Source organism: Homo sapiens, chromosome 5 (assembly GCF_000001405.40).
Source record: "Homo sapiens chromosome 5, GRCh38.p14 Primary Assembly".
NCBI classification, from domain to species: domain Eukaryota; kingdom Metazoa; phylum Chordata; class Mammalia; order Primates; family Hominidae; genus Homo; species Homo sapiens.
Genome location: NC_000005.10, coordinates 35,699,117 through 35,719,638, shown reverse-complemented (window position 1 = coordinate 35,719,638; position 20,522 = coordinate 35,699,117). Strand labels below are relative to the sequence as shown.

At 36.6% G+C, this 20,522-nt stretch overlaps 1 protein-coding gene across 20 annotated transcripts in view; it reads right to left on the bottom strand.

Moving 5' to 3' along the window:
- SPEF2 (sperm flagellar 2) overlaps positions 1–20,522 on the bottom strand; it is a 196,749-nt gene that overhangs the window by 94,973 nt on the left and 81,254 nt on the right. For 14 of the 20 annotated variants that reach the window (XR_925655.3, XM_011514136.4, NM_024867.4 and 11 more), the window contains 5 exons: positions 18,887–19,143; positions 14,977–15,085; positions 13,831–13,988; positions 10,518–10,691; positions 6,753–6,827 (listed from right to left, as the gene is read on the bottom strand). Coding sequence is in view for 19 of the 20 variants with exons in the window: in XM_011514136.4 (XP_011512438.1) it covers positions 6,753–6,827; positions 10,518–10,691; positions 13,831–13,988; positions 14,977–15,085; positions 18,887–19,143 (773 nt within the window). In the remaining variant the exon portion in view is untranslated. Of the gene's footprint in view, positions 1–6,752; positions 6,828–8,788; positions 10,315–10,517; positions 10,692–13,830; positions 13,989–14,976; positions 15,086–18,886; positions 19,144–20,522 lie in introns of those variants that run through there. The other 6 variants (XM_047417767.1, XM_024446219.2, XM_011514139.4 and 3 more) reach the window with 3 other exon arrangements.

Sequence of the window (20,522 nt, the reverse complement as noted above, 5' to 3'; positions counted from 1 at the left end):
AAAAAAAAAAGTCACTAATGCCACTTTCTAACAGGTTCAGGAGCTCCAACTTTATCTTGGGACCATAAGAGAAGAGGGCCACCCACCTCACAGGTATTTGAGGATACAAACCCATGGTTGGGCTTGGCTTTAAAAGGTCTTATCTGAGATTCCTTGTGGAACAGACTTCCATCAAAACCAATCCAAAAGGCCTACACAGAAATAATTATTCTTGCTGCACTTTATGCAAATAATCAGGCCAAGTATAAGACTAAAATCTATTTTGCAAACCATTCAGTCCTGTGATGATTTTTTAACAAAAATGAAGATGGGAGAGAGAGAAATCATGTTTCAAAACTTACACATTTGTCGTTAAATTCTCAAGTCATTAGTTGTTTTTAAGTTTTCCCCTATATTTTAGACTAACCCTGCTTGCTTCTGTGAACCAACCAGCAATTTCTGGCTCCAGGTCAAAAAGAACAAAAGGGATGAGTAATGTAAAAATCTGGATCGATATTCTAGTTCTAAGCAATTATCCTGCAAATCCTCTGAGGTGATGGGAATAAATAGGATGCCCATGACTCGGAGGTTTCCTTTTTGGGAAAGTAAGACCAAGGCAGCTAACCAAAGCCAAGCATCATGCACCCAAATCTTAGTAAGCATAACTATAGCTACCAGTTATCTGGGTGTGTCACAAGACATTCTTTCCTCTCCTCTCACCTTAAAATTCAGCTTATGATAAGGAGTCCATGTAACTCCCTGAGACACATTTTTGTCCCAAACTCAATTCCAAGCTTTGGGTCAAAGCCCTAGGCAGGAAAATTGGATCTAGGGGATTCAGGGGCAAATGACAACAGAGGTTAAAAGGCACAGCAAAACTGAGAGTGGCTGATTCCTGCCGATTAAGCCAACCCCAAGCTTCCTGTTTCATGGATAAAGGTCACGTTAGTGTCCATGACATAAATGATATCTAGGAAACTCCAAGGCTACTGACAGCAGGGGAGATAAGGCATACATGGGTAAGAGGAGATAATTCCTATTCTCTAGGCCCTCCCTGCTTCATGGGTGCAAGGTGCTTTGGCACTCATGGTGGGACCTGCCAAAATCGCTCAGATGCAAGTATGGAAGAGGGAAAGTAGACACACTTCCCTCTCCTTCATGTACCCTGGTTATTTGCTAGGAAGAAACGGGAACCAGGGATGCCTGCTCCCCTCTTTCTAGATGGGTGGTCATTCATCTTCACTCTGTATCCCTTTCAAATGCATCCTGACCCCCTGGGACTCCTTTAAAAGGTGCTACTTTTTTCTTTCTCCTCCTCTGTCCTCTCTTCACAGATAGGTAATTGCATCTCCGTACTATGGGACACTCCCCTCAGATGCATCCTCCAAACTTGAAAGAGTTTATTTCCCAAGCCTTAAACTGGTTGGCTTAGGATTGGGCTCAGGGGAAGGGAACCCAGAAGCCTGACATGCCAGCAAAAGAGTAGAGTTTTTTTAACCAGTTGGGGTTTTGGCCTACCTCTCCCTGTGCAAACTGGTAAAAGGCCTCAGAATTCTTGAGCTGTCCTTATCCCTCCCCTTGTTTTGTTTTAATACATGTTTTCTAATAACTCCATTTGTCTGCTCTTGCCTTCAGGCCATCAAACTATAAACAGCCATGAAACTGGAGCCTCTGACAATGGCCCCTTCTACTGGGAACCCTTAAATAGGCCTCTGAGGGAGCTCTGACTGCCATTTCCCCAAAACAGCGCCCCCTGTCAGCAGGAAGCGTTAAGATCGGTCTTCGTCCTTATCCTTAATCTAACAACAGTTAGATAGATGTACTTCTTTAGAGAGGGTAATGAGACAACCAGGTGGCAGGGGGTCCCTGGAGAAACTCCAACCAGCCTGCCCACTAAGGTGGAGCCTTGGGAAGTTCACATCATTTGCGGTGGGGAGGAGCCTAGCCCCTCCTTTTCCTGTGTGGAAACTGGGATTCAAACTGCCAGGCAGGAAGGGCTCTAGTAGAGGGACTCTGGCCTTGCGAGAGTCCGTTTTCCTCTTTTTTTCCCTTTTCACCCAATAAAACCCTGTTTTACTCACCCTTTAAGCCGTCTGTGAGCCTAAATTTTCATGGCCATGGGATGGACAAGAACCCCGTCTTTAGCTGAACTAAGGAAAAGTCCTGTGACATTAATGCTTATAACATTGATACTAAATTTATTATTTTAAGTGGCTTGGTAGCACCTACAATAATTGACCCTGTAAGACAAATCAGAAGGCAAGCACTGGAACAATACTAACACTAATACATGTGGCAAAGCATCGGAACTAAAGATGGCATGATTTCCAAGTGTTTGTTCCAGAGAACTCTGGTCCCAACAGATATTCCTCCAAGGGAGAAGAATTCTGCAGCCAAAATGCCCTGGGATCTTACATATGGTGTCTCCTGCTCCCTTTGAAATGCACATTGTTATAGAAAAAAAAAATCCTGTAATTAAAAACATTTTAACTTGATGTAACTTGGCATTTTCTGAATTTAGTTGATTATTGAAAACTTTCTAAATTTGGCTCCTAATTAACATCTCTCCTGGGTAAGGCTATATGTTTGAAAAGCCATTGTTTAATGAAGAAACATAATGGGACAGTGGCAAATGGGTTCAAGAGGAGGTGAAATCTTTTTTAAGAACACTCTAAGTACCATTGTTAATGGCATCTCAGTGTCAAGACTTGGGAGGGAGAAGGGTAGAGATTGATCTAATATGCAGAGAAGAATATAAATGAATCAAAGACATCGACAGCAGGAATTAATAAGTTTGAAGAAAGGAAAAAATAGATGGTTCCTCAACTAAGAGGCTCTTTAAATATAATTGGTATCAAATAAACAGATGAACAATTAATGGTGTTCACCTGCAATGGAGTTAATTTGAAATATTAAGAAATAAAATCATTTCTTTCACATGAAGGAAGTCCAAAACCACATGATTTATATGTAACATAAAGATGTCTAAATCTTGAGAGTTCACATATTTCAAATATTATTTAATGCAATATAATAGTAAAATAAAAGCAAAAAATATTTGGAAGTCTTTGTAGTTAATTTGAGCTAACTACATGGCTCCAATGTATATATTTTGCTGTTGAACTTGTGTTTGCTTATGAATTGTTTGGAGTCCGTATGCTTTTATTAAGGATGCTCTTAGAGCATGTGTTAATTATGTCTAATTTGATGCTTTGGTACCTAATATACATGTCTTTTTAATTTCTATTTTCGATGGTTCTATAATGATGCTTCATTTGCTTTTTTGATCCTGATGAGAAAAAAGGGATGAGTAATGTAAAATATGAAAATTATTCTATTAGTAAACAAGTGAGAGCTGAGCATAAATTATAGCCCTTAAAATTTTAACTAAAACTTTTATCTCAGTGTTAACTCACCAATTAGCTCTAGTTATACAAACCCAACATATCATATAATTAGAGAAGGGTGAGATTCTCTTTGAGAATCATGGTTATGATTCTCAAAAATGTTTGGACATTTGAGAATGTCCAAACATCGATTTTAGCATGTTATGTTTTGAACAGTACACACTCTTGGACTGCAACAGCACTGGCAATTTGTGATGAACAGTTTAAAAAAGACACATACTTCATGACAATGCCCCTTGAATGAACCTGGAAGAAGTAAATTGCATGCATGCATACTGCATTTCAATCTTTAGTTAATTTATTGCTACAGCACCTTCAATATGAATCTAACTGATACGCTTTTTAGAGCCTGGGATTTTCTTTCACCAGCTATCAATTACTTTAGAAATTATACCCCCAACAGAGCAAGACTCTGTCTCAAAAAAAAAAAAAAAAAGAAATTATATCCCCCTATTTCACAGAAATAAAGTAAAATAGAAAAAAGAACATAAATGAAACTAGGGTCAGGAAAAATATAACTTAAAGTAGAAGTTCAAAATCAGGAGAGGAATTAGAAGGCAGACATGGAGATCTAGGTCCTTGCACAGATACTAAACCTGAGCCACGAGTTTTTTTCTGAACTTCTAGTCAGCCAAAACACAAAGGAAAATGCTCTCATTTTGAGGCGCCCATTATCTAATCACCCAGAGGAAGAGACATTTTCCTGTCCCTTGATTCTGAACGAAATTTATCACCTAGGATTTCATATAGGGGCCACGGAATGATGTAGTGGGCATAATATTCCTTCAGAAAATATAATACCAGGTTATTATTGGTATAATAAAAGTTTCACCTCCACTGCTATGTTAAGTTGTGGAGGACTTTTTTTTTTAAAACTGGAAGTTTTATTTCATTTCAATGGACATTAAAGTTGGCCTACTAAATTAGAAAAATAAGGAAAGTCATTAGTGAGTTTTGAGTGAAAACATAAGTCTTCAGAAAAACTGTTCTTAACAAAATTCTTTACAATAAACAATTATATAAAAAACTTAAAATTGGCCAGGGGTGATGGCTCAGGCCTGTAATCCCAGCACTTTGGAAGGCTGAAGCGGGGAGATTGCTTGAGCCCAGGAGTTTGAGACCAGCTTGGGCAACATGCTGAAACCCCATCTCTACAAAAAAATACAAAAATTAGCCAGGCGTGGTGGCATATGCCTGTTGTCCCAGCTACTCGGGAGGCTAGGGTGGGAGGATTGCTTGGTCCTAGGAGGTCAAGGCTGCAATGAGCCATGATCACACTACTGCACTCCAGCCTGGGCAACAGAGTGAGACCCTGTTTCAAAACAAGAAACAACAACTTAAAATCAAACATTATTGTTTCATAATCAAACGTTATGCAGAAGAAAATTTTGCAAGGCTGATATTTTAGAGATAGTGTCGCATGGATAAAGCCATAGGCATTTACAATTAACTGAAAAAGGCAAGCAATGCAATGCCACCAGATTAATTTAAGTTGTAAGATACTTGGGCAGTAGGGAAGCAGTCAGGGACAATAAATAAATAAATAAATAAATAAATAAATAAATAAATAAAAATAAACCCAAAAGACAAACCAACCTAACCTAAAAACAAGCTGGACTTAATAGCTTGCATTTCAGAACTGAGGCCATGTAATTGTAATATTAAGAAAAAAAATACAAAGTAAATACCAAATACGAATGTCAGGTCAAAAGAATTTTCAATAAAAAAAATCAATAAAAATAACCTGTTAATGCTCAAATAGATAACTTAAAAGTACCTGACTGTTAAAAAATAGTTACAGAGTACATATCCAAATACCGTAAAAGGGACACCACCCCTCATAAATAGGCTTTTAAAAGTTCACTTATTGAGGGTGTATGCATGACATAAATTTTCCAGGGAACTTATGACTCTTTAAAAAAGCAGGGAGTGGGGTTGGGGGTGGGGAAAGTAACTCAAAGTTCTCTAAAATATTTGCAAGGTTCTCTTTACTCTTTGATGGTTGAAAAATTCTCTGAAGAAACTCAAACAAGTCATAAGAATTAAAATCCCTTGCATGAGATACAATTTAGAACAAAGTAAAACCATTAAAATCCGTTGCCAGTATGTAGTTACACCAAGAACTTACATCAAGCTGTAAACATTTGTTAATTCAAATTCTAAAATATATATACTGTATATAAAATATATACTATATAAAATATATATACTGTATATAAAATATATAATACTATATATAACATATATACTATATATAAAATATATAATACTATATATAACATATATACTATATATAAAATATATAATACTATATATAACATATATACTATATATAAAATATATAATACTATATATAACATATATACTATATATAAAATATATAATACTATATATAATATATATACTATATATAAAATATATAACACTATATATAACATATATACTATATATAAAATATATAACACTATATATAATATATATACTATATATAAAATATATATAAAATATATATATATATTTTGAGACAGAGTCTGTCACCCAGGCTGGAGTGCAGTGGCGCAGTCTTGGCTCACTGCAGCCTCCGTGTCTCCCGGATTCAAGGGATTCTCCTGCCTCAGCCTCCTGAGTAGCTGGGACTACAGGTGTGTGCCACCATGCCTGGCTAATTTTTGTATTTTTTTAGTAGAGATGGGGTTTCACCATGTTGGCCAGGATGGTCTTGATCGCCTGACCTCAGGATCTGCCCACCTCAGCCTCCCAAACTGATGGGATTACAGGCATGAGCCACTGCGCCCAGCTCCAGTTCATATTTTTAATTGTTTATAAATTACTGGCTTAAAGGATTACAAAAAAATGTAGACAGGTCTCAAAAACTTCAAGAGTTCCACTAAAAATAGATGGCAAAAATTAAATGTTCTGCTTTAGTTAACAGTATTGTACCAAGGCTCCTTTCTTAGTTTTGTAAATGTTCTAAGGTAATGTAAGATTTTTATTTTATTTTTTACCGAAGTGCTTATCAGTGAAGGAAATCCAATAAGGGGTCCAAGAAAACTTGATTCAGTATGTAGCTTTCGGATGGCACAGCTTAGTCCAAGGATAACAGCTAAAATATCTCTGATAAATGGATATTCTGTATATTAGATATTGTCTAAATTATCCCTGCAAGCATCACTTTTCTCAGCAGGGCCTTTGGTAAGCGCCAGGATGCAGAAAGTTTGCGACTATATTCTTTGGCAAGGGCTTATGATTTACAAATGCCTGAGAGAAGTGGTCAATGTATACTACTATACAAATCTAGCTATTTTCACTGAGATAGTTATAAAATGCAGAATTACATGTAATTATATATATTTTTATCTGCTGTACCTTTTCTTTTGAGTGCGGTCTCACCTTTCTTCCCTTTTCCTTCCTGAAGAGATTCTTGCTTACCATGCGGGGCTTCTAAACAAAATTCGACACACAAAAATCATTGATGATTTACTTCAATAGCCTGGGCTATATGATTGTAAGCAAGCTAATGCTATTTCCCATAGGTAAACAGTTACATTTGTGAACTGCATAAAATGGCTCAGGTTTTTACTTTGAGTTAAAATTATCCTGAAGACAGACTATGGGTTGAAACTTCTGGAATGATAGCTCTAATAGCAGCATTATTCTGTCACATTGAGATGTTTAGTCCTAACTTTAATATAAACATTTGGTAGTGGATTTGATCATAAACTCTTTAATGGAACTAGCTGTGGCATTTTTAAAAGTTAATCACAAATCCATTTGGAGCATATGGCTGTATTTGGATTTGTTTCAACTGAATGTGCCTATACAACAAGACAACTGTATCTGTGATAAAAATGATGCCAAAGCCAGGTACAGTGACATGCACCTGTAGTCCCGGCTATTGATGAGGTTGAGGCTAGAGGATGGCTTGAGCCCAGGAGTTTGAGTATGGCCTGGGCAACATAGTGAGACCCTGTCTCTAAAAATTAAATAAATAAATAAATAAAATAATAAAATAAAATAAAAATAATGGCCAAACACTTTGAAGAACAGGTAAATAACCACATTATTTTGATATGTTGCACCCTTGAACTTCTCTTGGTCACACTCTTGGTTGCCTTGTGACTTCTACATTTTTCATTGACTGTAATTGTAATACAAAGAATGATGTGAGTATATTTATCTTAAATTCCCTGGGATATAGTTCAGAAATATATTGGAAGGGAGAAATTGGAAAACTGATGATCTGGAGATGCCCCAATTAATGAGTTTGTTCCTTTAAAAAAAATTCACTACATCCTGCATTATTTACCAAATGATTTTAATTATTTTCCTCCCTGGTCCTGGGCTATAGTTTTCTCCTTCATTTTAAAGGATGAACCAGTATGGCAATTGAAATGCCTGTGATGGAGACAGACTCCCTTTAACCTATTTTTTTGTATTTAGAAGTGATAGTTATAAGAATGTATAAATGCCTAGCAGATTTCACTTACATTAAATATCACAGACATGATAACCAAGATTCCACAGAAATAAGACAGGTGACTTTGTTAATCTCTCTAAATGGATATTTAAAAATCCAAGTAGTTGACCACTAAATTTGGAAGAAAGACGGGGGATGATAGCGAGGGAGGGAGGGAGGGAGGGAAGTAAGGAAGGAAGGAAAGAAGGGAGAGAGGGAGGGAAAGAAAGAAAAACCTAAATAGAAGTATAGGTAGTATTATTCTATTGTGCCATACTAAGAACTAATTCTCAATTAAATAGTGACAATTGATACTGCATTTGATAATAGACCCTTCAATGGAACATAACTATGGAGTTTTTCAAATTTAATCCCAAGTATAATGGAAGGAGATATAAAATATGGAACTGAATAAAATATAGAACAATTTTTTAACAAAAATCACAAAATTTTTAACAAAATAACAAAATAACAATTTTTTAACAAAATTTTAACAAAATAACAAAATTTTTTAACAAAATAACAAAATAGGATTCAATGTACTATGCCTACTCTAGCCCTTTTTTAAAATTTCATTTGGTTTTTTAGTGAATAATTCCTCTTTTCATCTCAACTTCTGCTGAAGATTGTAATTAGATGTTTGAGTAGGGCATGTTCAGAAGCCTCAGGCTTTCAGTTCTAAAAATGTTCCATTTTGGAAAATTTGTAAATTATTTACACAAAACATTTTAAAAACCTGTGATAAATGTTCCTCTCTCAAATTGCCTAACCAAGCTTCCCTGAGCTGCAGGGGCAGTGCTGTCTGCTCTCCTGCCCTATCAATGTCCATCACAGTAAGGTTGGGTGGCAGCAATTAAGACTCTCGAGATTAACCTTTCTAAACATTCTTAAATATCAGGCACTAGCCTTGACCTTGGTGGGGAAAAAAAGACAAGTACAACCACTCTTTAAAGCAACAATAGATTTATTATTTCTTCAATGCACAGTATTCAAGAATATAATTATAAAATAGCAAACAAACTTCAGAAACTTAAAGACTGAGCTGGTCTGATCAGAAACACTAGAGTCTGGTTTCAGGAAATGGCTCAAATACATAGATACTCTTGACTGGAGCAAGCTGAGGAGGAGCTTTAACCTAGAGTCATAGCTATAGGTTAAAGGACGATATTCGATAATTCTAGGCTCACCTGACCCACTGTGAAAACTGTCTTCCTCAGTTATTTTTCTTTTCTTTTTTTTGGAGGTAGAGTTTCACTCTATCCCCCAGGCTAGAGTGCAGTGGGGCAATCTCGGCTCACTGCAACCTCCGCCTCTCAGGTTCAAGCAATTCTCCTGCCTCAGCCTCCCAAGCAGCTGGGATTACAGGTGCCTGCCACCACGCCCAGCTAATTTTTGTATTTTTGGTAGAGATGGGTTTTGCCCTGTTGGCCAGCGGGGTCTCGAACTCCTGATTTCTGGTGATCTGCCCACCTCAGCCTCCCAAAGTGCTGGGATTACAGGGATGAGCCACCATGCTTGGCCTGTCTTCCCCAGTTCTAAAAAGCATTTTAAATATTTCCATTTTCCTCCAGACCTCTGAATTGTTTTTTAATTTCCTAATGAGACAGCGGGAAAAGGGTGTATGTTTAATTCATGTCTTTGTGTTTTATTGTTGACATGATAAAAACATTTTTTAGGATGTGTGTATTTTGCCTGTAGTTAATTTCTAATTTCCTGGAGCAGAATGGTCTTTAATATATCATAATATATCTTACTAAAGTCTTCATATGTCTTTGTTTAATATGAATAAGTTTAATTTTAAAAATTAAGACCTATCTCAAATCTCCGTGAGGCAGAAAGACTATAGAGTTTAGAAATGTGGTCATGACACAGTATCAAAGATACTTAGGTAGACATGGTGTAACTGCACAGTCAGCCATTTATAAAGCTGAAACTAGAAACCAGAGCCTCATTTGTTTTATATACACACACAAATGGATACTGACACTCTACCAATATCATGCATTACAACAATTAAGCACTTCACTTTTGTCATTATATTCATTGTCTGCCACTTAATGCTAGACTTATGGTCCATAGCGGTTAAGGATCTAGAACAAACTTAAACTAAAAGTGTTCTCTATCTAGGCTCTTTATCTCTGTGTCCATAAATATATGTTTACTGAGATGGCAGGAGCTTGTTTCTATACTTTTATAATCACATAGTCCTGAAGATTTACAATTACATATAAATTCTAGTTCTAATGGTTGCTGTTAATTTGTTCCCTTATTCTGGTGGAAAACCAGCTATACTCATTCTTATTTTATTAAGATGTTCTTACTCATTACATAAATGTAACTCTATAGTTCAGCACACAGACGTGTATCCTCTTGATCTGCCTGAAGTTACCTGTTACTCTGTGCCTTTTCCTCTTCTCGTCTGTGGTCTTACTCTAATCAGTAGACCTAGGTGTGATGACTCCATGTCTCCTCCTACATGGCAAAGAAGTTGGGCTTTGTAACAACTACGCTTTTAGCTACTCCGAGGGCTTTTCCACTTCCATCTGAGTGTAAAGCCTTGTTTCATATGATTGAAGTTGCCCAAAGTCTGAATGTAGATAGACTATAATTTATAATTCTTTACTGAGTAAAAATAAGAAACTGAAAACAGGATTATAAATCATTCTGTCAATCACCTGATTGAGGTTTTCCTTTTGCAGTAGGAGTTTTTGAAGCCACATGGCTTTGATGAATTTCCTTCTCTTTTTCTGGTTCAGGAGGAGGAGCAGGAGGAGGTGTAGGAAGTGGAAGCTCAGCCAGGGAAGCTGCTGCTTTTTTCTCAGCTTCCTTTTCTTCTAATTTCTTCTCAACTTCAAAAGGATGATAAGAATTGACCTTCATTAGAGACTCTAGAAATCTACTATTTCACTTGAACTAAGAGAAATCTAAATTAATATAAAACAATCTTACGTATTTAAAGCTAATTCATGCTTTAGGGCTTTCCCTTAAATCATCTAGTCCTTAAAGCTAAGATTTCAAGTCTTCTCTCCCTTGTCAGAAATATGGTTGCCCTTGCCTTTTGATGGCAGTGGTGGTAATGTTGATGGGTAGTGGTGGTGATGGTGATGGAGGTAGAGGTGGTGATGGTGCTGGTGGTAGTGGTGGTGGAGGTGCTGGTAGAGGTGATGGTGGTGGAGGTAGAGGTGGTGAAGTCTGTGGTGGGGATGGTGGTAGTGATGGTGGTGGTGTGGTAGTGGTGATGGTAGGAGTGGTGATGGTGGTGGTTGGCATGGGGGTGATGAGGAATATATGTGTATTTGTGTGTACGGAGCAGGTATAAGGGGTTAGCAAGTGGTGTCAAATGTAAAAGTGATAATCTAGAAGTAGCTAATAAAGATGAGGAGAAAAATAAAAGATTGTTTGAAAACGTCCAGTGGGAAAGCAAAGTGAACAAGTGTAAAAAGACGGTAAAGGGCAATGTAATACAAGAGGTGGGGTGAGGAGGAAATGGAAGGGGAAAGAAATGTGTATCACTAACTTTAAAAAGTGAATACAAAGCACTTAGAATACTGCACAGTACATACATCTTCAATTAAGCCTTAGCAATTCATTCATTCCTGCAACAACCATTTATTGAACCTGAATTATGCCTTGAAGAAAAGGAAGGATGACAAGAATAAAGTAAAACTACTACTATTTCTAATGATAATAATTATAATAATATTGCAAACAATAGTTCTGATTGCTGGAGATACAACAGTAAAACAAAACAGAAAAATCAATGGCCTTATGAAGCTTACGTTCTAGTGGTAGGAAACAAACCATAAATATGATGAATAAGTTAATTTATACAAGAGTTAAGATGGTGATAAGTGCTATGGAAAAAAAATAGAACAGAGTAAGGGAGATCAAAGTGTTGTGGGCAGCTTCTTAAGTTTTAGATAGACTGCCAGGGTGAGTATGCCCAACCATAAGGTGACATCTGAGCAAAGACATGAAGCAAGCCAGGGAGTGAGCCTTGTGTATTTCTGGTGAAAGAGTGTTCCAGTCAGGGGAGATGGTTAGCCCAGATGCCTGGAGGGATGGAGCATGCCTGACTGGAGTCTTTCTAGGCTCCCATCATTGTGATGACCCTTTGCCTTGCATGATGCAGTTTCACCTTTCCTGGCACACCCTCCCTGACTGCCCAGTCTTTCCATCCCTTCACACTGCAGAGGCCCACAGCTCTACTCAATGTACCACTGGCGACGATTGCCTATGTTCTTGCATGACTATTTCTCTTTACATGTGCTTACTCCACCCTTAGATTACTCTTTTCAATTCAGCAAGCTAGGAGGCTTCATTCTATTAGATGTTCTTTTGAAGTGGAAATTAGGGGTTTTAGTTCTGACTTTTAAAGTTATTCATAATTATTGCTTTAAACATCCAAGAATTAAGACAAGTAGAAAAGGGAATTGCCTGTTAAGTCTCTTTAAGTCCTATCTCCTTCCCCATCATCAAGTATATATATGCTGCCAGACTCTTCTGTGCAGATGTATTTAATACATAATTATGTACACTTTCCTTAAAAGAGACTATTTCATATGTAACCTGCTTTTCCCTACTTAACAGTATATTGTGGTCAGAATATAGAAGTACCACATTCTTTTAGTTTTTTAACTTAGTCGGAAAGTTTAATACAGAGCACTGGGCTAGGTTAATGTTTATTGTTTTAATTATTAAACATTTGTTAATTACCTGTTTGAAATATAAATCTTAAGTGATAACTGAGTCTATTAATGTAGTCAGTGAATATTAGAATGCAAACTCTTTAGGAAAATGTTGAAGTTGAGTCTAATAGTTGGCAAAAACAAACTGATTCTAACCCGTAGCTTCAAGCCTTCATGAGTTAGAATTGGTTTGTTTTTGCTTCCCAACCAAGACTCTGTAAGATTGCTATTCTGTCAAATGACATGTTAAGCCTCTTAAAATAGTATATGATTATTTTTTGTTTGAAAGGTTCATGCTGGTAGTTTTTGGAGTAGGCATTTAGATGTAGGAGTTTGTCTTTCTAAGTATGAGCTCCTGGATTTCCATGGTGATTGTGGTTTATGTCTATGGGCAATTTTAATGTTAGTTAACTGTTACATTATGGGAGTTAGGTCACAAATTTAGCGACAGGAGACAGTATGCTATCAAGGCAACTTTAGAATCCTTTTGACACTATTAACTTTGACCATTTTTTATTATACTAAGAAACAGTAGTTGCCAATATAATTTGGGGTAATTGATAAACAAAAAAGAAAGATTTATTTTTCAAATCTTGTCTCAAGGCAAAATCCCAATGGAAATATGATATTGGACTGAAGTTAAAATCTCTTTCAATAAAAAGCTTCAATAATAGTATAAAAAGTTAGTGGGCAATTATCATTGGTTGAATGAAATAGGAAGGCGATCTGTGCAGTTTTATGTGGGTAAGATAAAACATGAAAGCAAGTTAATATATAATTAATAATCAATTTAATAATAATAAATAAACTTATAACAAAATAGGTGGATGTGAGAAAAAATTGCCTAGTGTGTCCATCCTAAAAGAATTCACATGGTTTCTTTATAATGCTAAAGCTAACAAAGTAAAACCTTTACCTTTATCTACAATATCTCTAATGTTCATTATTTTTTACTTAAAAATATCTAATTAACAAATAAAGATTACAAATATCCAGAGAATAAAATGTGAATTAACATTTAAATTTAACTCTGCTGGGTTTTTTTCTTGTTTTTTTTTTATGTGAAAACAATGCTTTCAGAGAGATGGTCTCTTTTTGATTAAAATAAGAGAGAGAAAAAATCTTTTATTCGGAAACATATACAACAGAAAGCTAAAGCCAGAGGCAGAATATATTTGTCGATAGTATAAATCCAAAGATAAGAAAGAACTTTTCAATCACATCTTCATTTCCTACCAAACTCATTAAAAACCACACATTTTAGTTGCCTAAACTCAAAACTATAAACAAATGTAAATACCTTTATTCTTTTTTTTTGCTATTTCAGTCGTAAGAATTTCTTTTACTTTTTCACATAAAGATTCCTTATCTATTTCAGCATTGATTTTTATCAAAATATTTTCTGGCTCTGAAAACCATTGCTCCAATAAAGGCCAGTTGTCCAAGAAGCCTATAATTCTGCAAAATCAAAATATGATATGAATATCTCATACTGATCAAAAGATTAGAATGACATTAAGCATAAATTATCCGACATGCGTAATGAAAAGACAGGCTGCCAATATAATTGTATCTGAAAAAGAAACAATGTTATTTATTTTAGATTAAAGAAGAAATTACTTAATGTCATCAAGACATATTTTTTGAGATGTATGAGAGTAAAAGAGGAAAATGTTGTTGATTCAGGAAAACTTTTAGTAGGAGTACAGGTCTCTAAGTGAAAATCTAAGAAAACATCATCTGTGCTCATAGTAGAATAACTCTGAACTCTCTTCGGATGGTAGCTACAGCCTGATGCACCTAGGCCATCTATTTTTTTCTCAGAGATAGAAATTGAAGAGATCTTTGAGTAAGTATAGATGGTTTAGACTTATATATTTTACTCAGAAGTGTTATTGGAATAACTCTTGAAACTGTTTTTTTCTTCCTGGAGAGTAGACAGCCTTAATGTAGCTCAAATTACTCTTCCCTGGTTCATTTCATATTGTTAAACTTTTCAGGGTTTCATAAAATTGTATAATTTTGTCTAAATTTCCCTTTGCAATGGCAAATTGCACACAACCAGAAGAATAATTTTATTTTAGCAAAATAGAAGTAGTTTACACTCCGATGACTAACTTTTTGAAGTTCCACCATCGTCACCAGCATTTCCTTAATGAGTGCTGAATCAGGATTCCATATAATTAACTTATAAGTGCATGTAACCGTAAAGGGAAGTATTGCCTGATTTAATTCTTCTTTTTTTCAGACTAATGACTTGCCCTCTAAATATGAAAGCTAGCACATAAATATTTCACTTATTGTCAAAACTACTTAGTCTTCTTTTACCTGTAAAAGATTGAATGCTAAGAAATAGATATTCTTCTAGATCTGATGATTCCAAAGTTGTTGTCAATCTATTTAAAAAGCATGAAACAAGAAGCAGAGCATTTAGTTAAAAACTAACCTATGTTGTATCTGGTCTCTTAAATTTTGGTCTCCATCCTTATCTTGGTTTTCAGCAGCTACACGTTGACTGATATCTTCGTGAGCAGTTTTATAGGACAATTCTTCAGCTATGGTATAAAATTTATTTAATTAGATAATTTTCAAAACCAAAGTTGCTACTTACTGCTAAAATATACTGGTGAAAGATGCCAAACAGATACGGTCCTGTATTTGGTCCAGTGTTACTTAAAAATATTTTAAAAGATGTTGAAAGAGTATAGTTTTGAGATAAGAATTCGATTGTTTTCTTGGAAATTGGGGAAAATAAGTAAACATTAAAGAGAAGCTGTAGTTTCAGTGTAGAGGATCTCAGGATTGTCTATGATAGATGAGAATGAAAAATGATGGGTCATCATGAATAACTAACTTGAAAAGAATAGGAAAAATTAACACAGTGATGTAAAAATTAAGATGAAAGAACAAGGTGGCTGGAACGTCAAATATGCATACAAATTATTTCTTGAAATTATATGCAATACAATAAAATTATTGTTTCTTTCTAGAATTTATGATCTCCCTGTAGAATAGACATAAAGGAATAGACCCAAAGAGACCAAAAACAAACAAACAAAAAAACCAATCTCAACAGCTCTGATTGAGTCCTATTCTGGATTAATGGTACAAAGTCCAGAATACTTACCAATTTAGAATAAATAAAAAATCATAAAGAGGAAAGAAAGCCTTGAACTAGATTAAAAGAAATTAGAATTACTCAATGCAAGAGAACATTGAATAGCAAATTAATAGAGTTCGAGCAAATGAAGAACCCTCACAGGATATAGTAATCAGTTGTTCTTCATCTCCATTCATAACAGAACAAGGTGAAATGAATTTAGAATACAGAATGATGCTTTAAAATGATTCATAAAACCCAAGGATCACATTGGAATAGGTGACTGAAGAAAACTGTGGGAGTGCTCTTATTGGGAGATGCCCATGCACCATCTCATGGTCGCTACCTCGCTGCTGTCAGGACTTCAGTGCATGGATCAGCATTCCTCTCTCTCCAACCTCCCAACCCCCAAGCCCCAGGCAGTGCTCCTTCCCCTTCCCTTCACTCGTGGTACTCTGTACCATGGCCAATGAATTTTGTGATCACCCTGAATGGCTCCATCTTTGCAATCCTAAAGACCTATACTCCTACCACAAACTTTCCAGCACTCCTGTATAGTTGATGAATCTCTTCACTAGCATCCAGTCCCTAAATTCCTACCTCCTTTTTTCCAAATTTATCTGCATTATCCTGACTTCACTTTATGCTTTCTAGCAAACCTAAACTGCATGAATGAACACTTCAAGTTCTCCCTGCCTCTTAACAACTCCAGTTTCTGTGTCCTTTACTGTACCAGCCTTAAATGATATCATTTTTTTAAGACTTTTGCTGGTAGGCATCTTTGAATAAAAATACACAACCTTTATTCTTACTAATTCCCTAGCTAAAAAAAATCAGTTGAGCTCTTTCATATATATATAGAGAGACCCTTTTCTAAAATAAATAAAGAGAGAATAAAAAAAAAAATAAAAAAGTAACAAATATCCTGTGACCATGGCTCTTTTTTTTTCTTTCAGAGATAAACTTCTTGGGAGTTATCTCCACTCACTCTCTATCTCTGTCTCTCCCACTCACACCTCAATACACTGCAATCCTTCCTTCTCTCTCCCACCCTCCATGAAATGGCTCGCATACCAGTCACCAAACATGCCAAAGGACACATTTCAGTCCTTATTTTGGCTTCTCTGTAGTACTTATAGGTAAAATTTAGCGTACAATTCTTAAAAGCTGTTACATATATTATGTCATTTTATACTCAACAAAAACTTGTAATTGGGATTGAGATTCTATAATTGGCTCCAAATTGCACAGTTCATAAATGGTAGAGAAGGGATTTGATTCCAGGCAATGTGACTCCAGGTTCTGGATTTCTTTTTAATTTTTATAGTCTTTGTTGCATTATACTTGCCAAAAAACGCATACACTAATATGCATCTGCTCGAATTAATGAACTGAAGACAGTCAGCACCCAGATATACAAACATTATCGGTCCCAGAAGCCCCTTCCTGTTCTTTTTCAGTCACCATTAGCCACAAAGGGTCAGTATTTGATGCCTGAACTCAAAACCTATCTGTACCTCTCACCAGATGTGAACATTACTGTTCTGTCTCAGGCTGACCAATGGCTAAACAGCGGAGGCAGTCACCTCCTCTTCCATTCCAATGCAGCCTTTTACTCTCACAATGGCCATTCCCCCTCCTTACATCCCCCAGTCTCCTGCCCATTGGCTTTGAGTCTGGATCATTTACCTCAGCCCAGCCCTGGCAGGACTTTGTAGCCCACGTGGCTTTGGATGTAGTGTGTTTCTCTGTGAAGATGTTCTTCAGGTTCCTCCATAGACCCCGAGCACTGCAGAACTGCATGTTGCACCCAACCCTAGTGGCTAGGCTCCCACTCAGCCCAGGATCCTGCTGGTCTGGAAGGGGGATTGGATGACACATTTGCCTTGAAGATTTGTCCTCCCTTGGCTTATGAGACACTACTCTCCCAGGCTTTCTTCTTCTCCATTAGCTGCTGCTTCTAAACACTTATTCCTTTGCTCTCCCCACTAAATTCTGGCTATTATCTACAGAGCAATGCAATTTTTTTGGAGACAGGGTCTCACTCTGTTACCCAGGTTGAAGTGCTGTGGTGTGATCATGACTCACTGCAGCCTTGAATTCCTGGGCTCAAGTGATCCTCCCACCTCAGCCTCCCATGTAGCTAGGATCACAGACATGTGCCACCATGTTGGGCTAATATTTTTATTTTTTGTAGAGACAGGGCCTTGTCACGTTTCCTAGGCTGATCTCAAACTCCTGGGCTCGAGTATTTCAAATCATCTTTTTTACAGTGTGGAAATTGTCTCAGCTGAACCAAATTTATTTTCATTTCTAAGAACACGAATCATTTGCATTACTATCAATTTCCTACTATTTACAGAGTTATAGAAGAATTGAGTCAAAACCAGTGAGAGGCACAGACCCCTATAGAATCAGGTACCCCCAAGGGTCCAAGAGGCAATATTCAGCCTTCTAGTAAAATGATGTGAAGGCAATCATTTGTTGATTTCAAAGTCTTCCATCATTTTTCCCTGATGTATTTACCACACGCTTATTATCATGTGCCAGATTCTGTCCTAAGCATGTAGCTCTGAGCTCATTTAATACCCATAACAATACAATGAGCCATGTTATCATATAGGTTGTGACACCAAGGCTTAGAACAATAAGGTAACTTTCTCAAGGTCAAATACCTTCTATGTAAGAAAGCCAAGGTTCAAGAATAAGTGCTTTTACCCATAAGTATTTAATTTGTGGAATAAAGGATATTTTTCAAGGTTGAAAAACAGTTAAACTATGAATTTTTGTAGGAAGATTCACCCATCATGTGAAGTTTTCAGCCAACTGATACCACTCTTTAGAGTTAATACCCAGTCCAAGAAAAGGATGTTATCAGATCCTTTCTTACAGCCCAGATGTGGTTTATGACCCTCAAGAGGGTGACCCACGAAAACACGCTAGACAGCCACAAAGCACTCCTCCATAAGTGCATGTCTCAAAAAAACACCCCAATGCCAGGGGAACTCCCAAGTTGATGGAAAGGTTCAGTGAGATGCTTGCCGTTGGACTGGAATTCACTAGTTCCCGGCTTTGCCCACAGCGCTGAATGCTAACAGTCAAAGCAAGAGGCAACTGTGCTCAACTAGATAATTATTTGATAGGCTGAAGTGGATTATTTTGTACTCATTTATAATTGTAAATGGGAGTATTCACTGATTCAAAGAACAAAGAGTTTTCATTGTAAAAAGAGTGTCAAAAAAGGTGTCCAGCTTACCTATAATATCATTCATGCGACTCATTGAGGAAGTATCTGAAACATCTAATAATATGACAAAATCAAATGCAGGAGAGGGAAGAGGTATTTCTTTGGAAGTCGCAGGATCAATAGCCAATGTGGATTTTTGTGCTTTTTTTCTTTCCACTTCTGTGAGGTTTCTATTGCAGCCTGTAAGAGCTTCTTCCAGAAGCTGTGCTTGGTTTAAAGTCATTGGAAAACCATCTAGGATACAGTCTTGATTCACAGGTATCTCACTAAATTGAAACAGGACAACTCATGAATATTTTGTTAGACACAAGTACTTTGGAAATACTATGATGAATCTTTCCTTTTTCTTTCAATTCCACAATAACTTCCTACTGCATGAATTTCATTACTTCATAGCTAAAAGATTAGGTTTACTGATGTGCCACAATCACTCCCTTGCTTAAAAATACTTCTGTGGATACTGTGCTGCCCTCCAAATCTATTCCAGAGGCTTTAACACATTAAAATTAACTGGCCACACCTGTATTAGTCCCTTTCCATGCTGCTGATAAAGACATACCCAAGACTGGGCAATTTACAAAGAAAGAGATTTAATTGGTCTTACAGTTTCACATGGTGGGGGAAGCCTCACAATCACGGCAGAAGGCAAGGAGGAGAAAGTCACATGGATGGCAGCAGGCAAATCGAGAGCTTGTGCAGAGAAACTCCCGTTTTTAAAAACATCACATCTTGTGAGACCATTCACTATCACGAAAACAGCACAGGAAAGCACCGCCCCCACGATTCAATCATCTCCCACCAGGTCCCTCCCACAACATGTGGGAATTATGGGAGCTACAATTCAAGATGAGATTTGGATGGGGACACAGTCAAACCATATCAACACTTTATTTCTCTATAACTTGTTATCTCTTACAATTTTGAACCATTTACTTCAAACAAACTCATCTCCTCAATGTTATATGAGTATGAACTGCATTTTCTATATTGTGTTCACAGACTGTTCCTCCTTTGCACCTCAGTTTCCTAATTCATACAATGGGGTAACATAACATACCTCATAAGGTAGTTGTGAGGATGAACTGAAATGATGCATTTTAAAAACGCAGCACAGAGCTTAGCAAGTACTGGATACTTGTACTGCCAACCTGGAGAGCTCTTCCTATCCCACCCAAGCCTGTGTAGAGTCATAGTATCCTGATCTGAATTTCTCTGACTTCCACTTTGCCATGCAAGTGGTTATATTTCTCTGTTTAACACAAATTCAAGTGAGTCTTTTAAAATCTCAGTTAGATTATAGGACGCTGAAGTGCAATTGGGTTTTTGCACTCAGCACAGTGTCCTCTTTAGAGAGTGGGTGTTGAATAATTATTGTTTTAATTTGCAGCTGGAAAACAAGGTGAGAAAGGCGTAAACTTTGACTTTGTTCTTCTAAGCCCTTAAATTATGCAAAATTGTGTTTTTGGCCTTTGGATTAAAAGGTATAATTTCATTTATTTCTGTCAGAACTTATATTAAACAATGGAATCCCCTTTCCAAAGGTTTCTGAGTCTACTTTGGGGCCTGCATGTGATCCTTCCAATAGTGTAACAAGGAAGGAGGGGGAAAACAGAAGTTAAAGGAAATTTCATTATTGTTCAAAGTC